The sequence below is a fragment of the Homo sapiens genome, chromosome 2 (genome assembly GCF_000001405.40).
Source record: "Homo sapiens chromosome 2, GRCh38.p14 Primary Assembly".
Lineage (NCBI taxonomy): Eukaryota > Metazoa > Chordata > Mammalia > Primates > Hominidae > Homo > Homo sapiens.
Window position 1 is genome coordinate 224,363,544 of NC_000002.12, and position 10,093 is coordinate 224,373,636.

The 10,093-nt window shown below is 43.7% G+C and overlaps 1 annotated feature.

The window, feature by feature from the left end:
- Positions 9,469-9,763: a silencer, noted in NCBI's record as "tiled region #15583; HepG2 Repressive non-DNase unmatched - State 23:Low". NCBI's record gives its function as "represses a minimal TATA promoter and a strong SV40 promoter by Sharpr-MPRA in HepG2 cells {active_cell/tissue: HepG2}" and the evidence as "EXISTENCE:reporter gene assay evidence [ECO:0000049][PMID:27701403]".

Here is a 10,093-nt window from a genome sequence, read left to right on the forward strand (position 1 = left end):
TCTGCCTTCTAGAAGCCACCTGCATTCCTTGGTTCATGATTCCATCCTCACATCCCACCACCCTCTTCCTCTTCGGTAGTCAAATCTCCCTCTGCCTCCCTCTATAAATTCATTTACGCTACAGGATAATCCAGAATGATCTCCCCATCTCAATACCTTTAACTGATCACATCTGCAAAATCCCTTCTGCCATGTAAAGTAACATTCACAGATCTGGGGATTAGGAACTAGGTATTCTTTGGTGCCGGTGCTCAGCTATCCACACGTGGCAACGTCATGAAGAGGCAGGAATCAGTGAGTCAGACAGCCAGGGCTCCACTTACTAGTTGTACATGATTTATACTCTTTTTGCTTCAGTTTCCTCATTTAACCAATGAGGAATATTATAATGGTACCTCCGTGGTAGGGTTGTAAGAATTAAATGAGTTAATAAATGTAAAAATCTTAGACTCTGAATTGTACGCTTTAAAAAATCTTGTTTCCTCAGACATACTAAGTGCCCATCATGATCATTATTATTCTACCAAAGAATTGCACATCCCAAAGAATTGCACATCCCAAAGACAGACACAGACACACACAACCCAGGCTCATTTTGTCTTTTTATTTTTCTTACCTTGGTTCCAGGCCCACAGCCAATGGGTGCTGGCTCTCCTCTGTGTTTTCCAAGCCCGGTGCTTAGCATGCCCAGAACCCTCCAATTCTCCCTATGGCAACCCCTCACTGAGTGCCAGGGACCTTGTTTCAGCTCCTGTCACACTAAGCAAAAGGTCCTGTTGCCATGGCCATTTGGCAGCTAAGAGTGAGATCTTGGACCAATTCCTTTTTTCCCATCTTGCTACCGTGATGTGATTTCTCTCCCATCAGGCTCAAGCCTTCCTTCTCCTCTCCTCTGCATCATACAATCACCATCCAGAGACACATACTCCTTTTTTCTTTCAGTGTTTCTCATGGAACAGACTTGTACCATGCAGTCACTCCCAGCTCCCAAGTCATCCACCCGACAGCAGGTGACCTCACTGGGTCTTTGTGCAACTCTGACTCAGGGGTAACTAAACAGAAACTACAGAGCTATCGGCCGGGCGCGGTGGCTCACGCCTGTAATCCCAGCACTTTGAGAGGCTGAGGCGGGCGGATCACGAGGTCAGGAGATCGAGACCAACCTGGCTAGCACGGTGAAACCCCGTCTCTACTAAAAATACAAAAAATTAGCCGGGCGTGGTGGCAGGCCCCTGTAGTCCCAGCTACTCGGGAGGCTGAGGCAGGAGAATGGCGGGAACCCGGGAGGCGGAGCTTGCGGTGAGCCGAGATCGCGCCACTGCACTCCAGCCTGGGCGACAGAGAGCGACTCCATCTCAAGAAAAAGAAAAAGAAACTACAGAGCTATCAATTGAAAAAGGAAAGCCTTTGCCTTTGTGTGAAAACTGAGGCTCTAGCACTTCTTTCTTAATACATTTAAAACATGGCCTTCATCTCCTCTTCCTGGATACCCTCCTTTTCACGCCACTTGGGGCAAGAAAACTGTTCACAGCCTCATATGACAGCTGAAAGGATAGAGAATATAAATTTATTTCATCACGTACCTTTCTATTTTCATCCACTTCTGTAGGCTTTCTGCGGAAGTAACACAACAAAACCTAGCACAGGTACAGAAACTTAGAATCTTAATGTTACGACGATATAGAGACATGCTGGTCTGTAGCGTAACTGAATGGTGCCCCACCATATTAAATTCAAGTGCTGATAAAGAGTGCACTTTTTAGACTTAATCAAAACTGCCCAGGACACTGATATACTTTCGCCTTTTTCTTAAATGATGCTCACAGCAAAAGGGAAAAATTTTCCTTATGACGCTGACTTCGGCTGCCTCATTGGACTATCTCTTCTTTATATGCAAGCTGCAAATATTCACAAAGTCAAATTAGGCATTAAATTCAGACTCACCCAGACTTTCATGGGTGTGACTGAAGGCAAACTCTGGCCCACGTCGGTGTGGTCAAAACAGATGAGTAACCATCGAAGGAGGTGATATGCTCACTAATTATGTATCTCGTGGATCTGATCCCAATCTGGCTTTCGTTCCTTAGGTTTTCATTCCTATGGCAGGCTTTTTTAGGGCAACATTTACAAAAAGATGCTTATGTTTTTACACTTTTGCACTTGGGAAACATTTTTGTGGCGTCTGCAGGGCCCTTTTAAAGCTTGCTCATTTAGCAGAGCAATGCGCGATGTAATTGAAACCTGTTTCTCTGGAGTACACCTACTTCTTTCTTCAAACATGGGAGAACTGTTCTTTTGCAGAAAGCTCCAAGAATCCATTTAAATCCCGTGGTTGCAAACCAGGCCAATATTTCCTCAGTGCCCAGCACTGTGTGGTTGCTTGGTAGCAGGCAATCAAGACAGACTTCGTGGGAGGCTGGCTGGAAACCCTCCATGTACACAGGGTGGACACACACAAACCTTCAAAGCAGTGGGACATCGGTGCTATCATTTAATTATCTTTGTGGCTATGAAGTGTCTCACTAGAAATTATTCCATTAATACTTCTTCCCAGTAGGTGTTTCAGACTGATGAGGCAGCGGCTTAGGTGGTAGAACATGGTAATTATGATTTTTTAAACGACTAGATGGAAGGCAGTCAAAAACAAATTTTAGTCTCTTACTTTTCAATTTGTTAGAACCACTTTACTGTCCATATGAAGGCTTCTTTTCACGCCTCAATTGTTCTGGGCCAATTTAAGAAAATTAAAAATTTGGCAAAGGGATTGACTTGAAAAAGAAGGGTTAGAGTAAAAACATACTTAAAGGCTGTGGCCACACGTGGTTCAAGGCTTGGCAGCTTACCCTGTAATTTGATATGAGAAAAATATTGGGAGGAATGGGAGAAAGCCAAAATTATTTACAGCTGGAATCCAAATAAAATCAAACCTATGCAATGTGTGGGCTGTATTTATACTTGTCTTTATCTATTATTAATAACCAAGTCAGCGTGTAGCATAATACTTGGCACACAATTTTATTGCTCTGAATTATGGGGCAGAAATGATTGCCTGGAATTATGAAAAACAGGCCTCAGGGAGCGCATATTAAAACCAGGGATCTATACATATGTACATACATACCCAACACTGACACAATAGGTTAAGAGCAGCACCAAATTTATGGATAAAGTGCTAAGGGGCCACAGTCCAAGGAAACCCAATCTTTCATTCTTTCTTTCCCTTGTTCAGGCACTGTTTTATGTCCTATGGATACAGTTATGGAGATGACAGACAGATCCTAGCTCTGATGGAGTGAAAGACAGAGGAGAGTTGGGTGGGGAGAGAGAGAAAGAGAGCAAGCAGTGGAGTGGGCAAAGGGAGGGTGACACGTAATACAAATAAATGACTGAACCAGAAAAGATTATATAAGTGCTCTGTTGTAAGTTGATGGTAGCCCCCCAAAAGGTTATGTTCACACCCTAACCCCCAGAACCTGTGAATGTGATCTTATTTGGAAAAAGAGTTTTTGCAGATGTTATTAAATTAAGGATCTTGAGATGAGTTCATCCTGGATTATCTGAGTGAGCCCTAAACCAAATGATAAGTGTCCTTATAAGAGACACAGAGAAGACACAAAGAAAAGAAGGCGATGTGAAGACAGGGGCAGAGATTGAAGCTAGGAAAGGCCTGAAGCCTCCAAAAGTTGGAAGAGACAGGGAAGTCTCTCTTTGGGTTCCATGAAGGCAAGTGGGCCTGACAGCACCTTAATTTTGGACTTCTGGCCTCCAGAACTATGACAGAATAACTTTAACTTTCTGCTGTTTTAAGCCATGAAGTTTATGGTCATTTGTTACAACAGCCCTAGAAAACTAATACAGGTTCTAAAGGAAACAAAACAGACTGAGGGTCACTGTATGCTGGGGGATCTCACAAGGTCAAAAGACATTGAAACATAAGCAAAGCCCACATCCAAGGACCCTGATGTGGCTTGGCTGTGTCCCCACCCAAATCTCATCTCAAATTGTAATCCCTATAATCCCCATGTGTGGAAGGAGGGACCCAGTGGGAGGTGATTGGATCATGGGGGTGAGTTCCCCCAGGCTGTTCTCCTGATAGTGAGTGAGTTCTCACAAGAGCTGATGGTTTCATAAGGGTCTAGCATTTCCCGTTTGCACTTCTGTCTCCTGCCACCATGTAAAGAAGGTCCTTGCTTCCCCTTCGCCTTCCGCCATGATTGTAAGTTTCCTGAGGCTTCCCCAGCCGTGTGGAACTGTGAGTCAATTAAACTTCCTTTGTTTATAAATTACCCAGTCTCAAGTATTTCTTTATTGTAGTGTGAAATGAACTAATACAGACCCCCTCACGGGGACATGAAAAGGGCCTTCCTCTCTTATTGCCAGGTACAGTTTTGGCCAGAAATGGACGCCTGCTTTTGCTGTCTCCTCTCACTTCTGTCCCTTTCCTGCACAGGGTCCTTCCCTGTCGCTCTGTGGGGCTGGCTTCCTCCCTCCGGTCCCCTCATCCTTCATTCCAACAAATGGACCCAGAGCCACGGCCCCACCAATCAGAGAGCCCTGCCACACAGACCACCCAATTGGCCCAGGAATGGGTGTGTGACTCGGGCCAGGCCAATCAGCGTTCTCCCTGTGGATTTTCTCCTGGAGCTCTCTGAAAAGACAAAGTCTTCCCACTCCAGGGCCGAGCTGATGGGATGTGGCTCTGGGGCTGTGATCCCCTGACAACAGTCTTTTTAGCTACATGACCAATAACTTTCCTTCTCTCCCTTTTTGTTTAAGTAATCCATTCTCAGTCACTCTTGCTTATAAATCAAAGGGCCCTACACTAATTTGAGGCTCTGTCCTGGTAACCTAGGCCAGACCACACGTGGCCTGCAGGATTTGTTTTGTGTAGCCTGGACAAAAGTTAACAGGAGGACCTACTTCTCCAAAGGGACCCTGCCTCCATCTTTGTGTCCCCTCCTGCTTCCTTCTTAGCCTGCTAAAGGAGTAGGAGCTGGGCACCTTACTGTCAAAGCCATGGAAGAGGAGAAAGGAGCAAACCAAAAGGAAAAGAGTAAAAGAATCAAAGCCAACAGAACATCCAGACCATCAATTTCTTAACATTGTGCCCCAATTTTGTACCTGGCCTCAACCCAATCAGTGTTGCACCTGTATCAGCCTCCATTATTTGCTGTAAGAGCAGAACTGATTCTGGCTGATTCAGGCTGACAATGAATTTATCAGAAGGCTGGAGAACTGGGCTCAGAAAACTCACGAGAACTGTGGCAGAATCACAACCAAAATCAGGCCACAGAACCAGGTGGGTCCAAAGGCTCCGCCGCCCCCACGGTCAAAGACTAGACATCGCTTCTTCCTTTGACCAGAGCAATGCTGACCACGTCCTCTTCCCACCCAAAAGAAATCCGCCGCATTCTTGAGTGTGAACATCAAAACTCCAGGTGAGACTAGCTGACTGTCCAAGTGTAAGTCATAAGCCCAAGTCACGGGAGATGGGGATGGGACATCTTTCAGGTGAGCTCTGCCTCCCACCAAGACTCCTATGGGGGAACTTTCTAAGCATTAATTAACTTTTAAATATCTACCATGTCTTCTCTTGGGGTGAAGCAGAGGGGGGAAAAAAGGGTTTGGCGATTCGGCCACAGTAATTTACATAGTGTTACAACAGTGCCCTCTAGTGACAGACTTTTGATAGGGTGAAAAGCAAGGTAAATAAGATACACATCCCATAAAAAATCCTGCTGAAATTCAGTCCTGCTTAATTCTGTGAATTAGATCATTGCACAAAGCAAGAGAAGATTCCCAAATGCAACTGCAATCCCGTGAGAGGACATAAAGGAACCATGACTTTTAATGGGTGTTAGCTTGAATTAACCACCGTCAGTGCCCGCAGGAACTCAAACAGCCCTATACAATGAGAATGACAGCATCATTTCTGCTGTGACCCTTGAGAATCGCTTGACCGAAGAGAAAAGCTGCTCCTTAGAAGCCCCCACATCCCCAGATCCCCTCATTTGAGCTGCACTCAGGGCTCCTGCAGTGATTCTGGCTGGTGGAGCCCTGTGAAGCCTGAACAAGCTCTAGGATCTGGCTCACAGGACATGACTGTGGGACCAACAGAGGAGGCCCAAACCTTGGGGGTGAGCTTCAGATAGAGCACAACAGCACAAACCATGAAAGACATGTGCAGTGATGCTTGTACACTAATAAGGACGAGATGAGGAAGAAGCCACTGCTGCTGTAATAGCTCTGCAGCCAACAGGCAAACTAGGAAAAGTACATACCTGAGAAAAGCAGAGAGGGCTCTCTGGAGTGGGCCCAGAACTTGGGATACAAACATGAATGATATAGTTCATGTCTGCTATGGTCTGAATGTTCCCCCCCACCACCCAGAATTCATATGTTGAAGCCTAGCCCCCAGTACGATGATATTTTGAGGTGGGACCTTTGGGAGGTGATTGGGCCATGAGTGTGGAGTCCTCATAATGGAAGTAGTGCCTTTAATAGAAGAGGCACCAGGGAACTAGCTCTCTCTGTCTCCCTCCACCACATGACGACACAGTGAGAATGTGGCCATTTGCAGGCCAAGAAGAAAGTCCCCATCAGAACTGGACCATACTGGCAGCCTAAATGCAGATGTCCAGCCTCCAGAACCATAAGAAATAAATTGCTGCCCAGTCTATGGTTTTCTGTGATAGCAGCCTGATATAGTTTGGCTGTATCCCTATGCAAATCTCACCTTGAATTTTGGGTCCTATAATTCACATGTGGGAGGGTCCTGGTGGGAGGTGATTGAATCATGGGAGTGAGTCTTTCCCCTGCTGTTTGCGAATATTTAATAAGTGTCACGAGATCTGATGATTTTATAAAGGGGAGTTCCCTTACACAAGCTCTCTTGCCTGCCACCATGTAAGACGTGATTTTGCTCCTCATTCACCTTCCATTATGATTATGAGACCTTCCCAGCCATGTGGAACTGTAAGTCCATTAAACTTCTTTTCTCTATAAATTACCCAGTCTCAGGTATGTCTTTACTAGCAGCGTGAAAACAGACTAATACACAACCCAAACTCACTAAGACTATATCTTACTTTCTGGCTTCCAGAGAATGGAAGCCTCTTCCACATTCCTATTCCTTGCTGTGCATTTGTTGAACAAATTATTTGTAAAAGCAGCTACTCTGGTCCTGACATTGCGCTAGGGCTTGGGTGCCAGGGTTGTTTTAATAACGTGTCAGCTGGTCAAGCCCCTGCAGCAGGGATTTTAACTTGAAACTCCATGACAACAAGGAGTCCACCAGGCAGGTCTGGGCAGAAAGCTCCAGGCAGATGGAACAAGTGGGGCATGCTTGAGGAGCAGAAAGGAAACCAGGGTGACGCCAGTTTTGTGTGTGCACAGTGTGGAGGCAGCGTGGACCGCGTGAAGCTCAGGTCACTCTTCTTGCCCCCCTCTTCCTAATAGATTGAAGCCAGGCTGTTAGGCTAGTGGTCAGAGACACAGACACTAGCCTGACAGCCTCGCTTCCAATCCTAACTGTGCCCATGACTCATTGCACAGTCCAGGATTAGGCTCTAGACCTCTCTGTGCCTCAATTTTCTCAACTGTAAAGTTCGGATCATCACAGCACCTACCCCACAGGACTTTTGTGAAGACCAAAATGTTCAAGAGAGTGCCTCGCATGTGGGAAGTGCCAGATAGCTCTGTCATCAGTATCAACTCTAATTCAGTATTATTGTCTCTCCTTAGAATTATTATCCTCAATATAAACAGACACTTTTCAAAAGAAAACATACATGCGGCCAACAATCATATGAAAAAAAGTTCGACATCACTGATCATTAGAGAAATGCAAATCAAAACTGCGATGAGATACCATCTCACACAAGTCAGAATGGCTATCATTAAAAAGTTAAAAAATAACAGATGCTGGTGAGGTTGTGGAGAAAAAAGAACGTTTATACACCATTAATGGAAGTGTAAATTAGTTCAATCACTGTGGAAGATGGTGTGGAAAGTCCTCAAAGACCTAAAGAAAGAAATACCATTTGACCCAGCAATCCCATTACTGGGTATATACTCAAAAGAATATAAATCGTTCTATTACAAAGACACACACACATAGGTTCATTGCAGCACTATTTTCAATAGCAAAGACATGGACTCATCCTAAACGCCCATCAATGATAGACTGAATAAAGAAAATGTGATACATATACACTATGGAATACTATGCAGCCATATAAAGAATGAAATCTTTTCCTTTGTAGTAACATGCATGCAGCTGAAGATCATTATCCTTAGCAAACTAACGCAGGAAGAGAAAACCAAATACTGCATGTTCTCATTTATAAATGAGAGCTAAATGATGAGAACACATGGACACAGAGGGGAACAATAGACACTGAGGCATATCAGAGGGTGAAGTGTGGGAGGAGGGAGAGGATCAGGAAAAATAACTAATGGGTACCAGGCTTAATACCTGGTGTGACAAAATAATCATACAACCAACCCCCATGACACAAGTTTACCTATAAAACAAACCTGCACATGTACCCCTGAACTTAAAAGTTAAAAAAAAGAAATAAACTCAGTTAAGAGCAGCTTTTTGCTTGACAATAGAGATGTTTATGTAAGAAAGGCCTAAATTGCATTTTTGACATATGGAAGAAATTTTATATATGACAAAATTATTTTGAGCTATAATCAATGAAACTAATTATGATAATATTCAGAAGTGAATGTCTAAGAACAAATAAAAAATAAGTGTCCAAAAAAGAAATAGACAATGAATATTTCTTTTATTAAATTTTGAATATGGAATCATACCAATTAAAGGTAAAAAATAAGTAATAAAGTACAAAAGAAAAAAAAGAATTATTGTTCTCAAGAGACTCACCTCAGAAACATCTCTGGCAGAACTGGGATTTGTGAAAACAATACATTTCTTCTTCCAATAAGAGAGACTTTGTGTCTCCAATAACTCAGCTAGGTTCTCTGGAATAACAAGACTTTTTAAATAATTATATTAGAAAATAAATTTTGATGAAATCAAGTTTTTAATAACATACATCCTAATTATGTGGCCTAGGGGCCATAAGCACCTTTTCCTCTTACTTGCTACAGCGAATTTTAAACATTGCGAATTGTGAGAAATGTTTAAGAAACATCTCAAACCTCGGGTAAGGATTTAGTAGGTGCAAAACAAGGGAGCTGTGGATGCAGAGATCAGTTTGTTTCTAAGTGACGTGGGTTTAGTTGACCCAGAGCAGAATCCTGAAATGAACTAGAAACTAGGGAGAATTTCCCCAGAGATCTCTTATTGCTCATTCTCTGAGCTTAGGCGAGGAGGCCCATTTAGAAGTTGCAGCTGCGTCTCAGCCCCTTGAGGGAATCCTGGGAGATGCAGCAAAGAAAAAGTATTTTAAAACAGAGCAAAGAATAAAGAGAGGATCAAATTGAAGCACAAAAAGAAGGGAGAAACAGAGGGAGGGAAGGGAAAAGAAATAAAAAGGGAAGGAAAGGGAAGAGAAAGGAACAGAGCGAAAGGGAAAGACCAATCCATGATGGCTTAGAGAAGATGCTAGGAAGTCACACGGTAGTGAGTTTTTCAGGAACTTCTGAATATATTTTGTAACATGGAAATGTAATTGAGGAGCTTTTAATCAACAGAAAATGCAGTGTGTGCTTGTGGCTCCATTCTCCTGTTTTATGTTTCCCTTCCCCTTTCTCCTTCTTTCTCTGGGAGGGAAGGAAGGAGCCTTTCCACCAGCAATCCTTCCATGCATAACTGGAGTGACCGAGCAGGTTGTTGAAGGGCAATGGAAAGACCAAGGCTGCCTTACAAAGTTCCCATCAAGCAGAAGGCACATGGCAGCTGCTGCTGAGGCTCCAGCTTCACCTGCCTTTGTAAGCCAAGGTGTGTCCATCTCTTCCTATCGTCTCCTGCTCCACCCTCAAATCTCACATCCCTTGCTCTACTTCCACTAATAAACTAATATGTTTGCAAGCTTCCAAATGTTACCATCTCTGTTAACGTTTAGCAATGAACAAATAATACCTGCAAAAAGTGTGAAATATTATTAATAAGGTTAAAAAT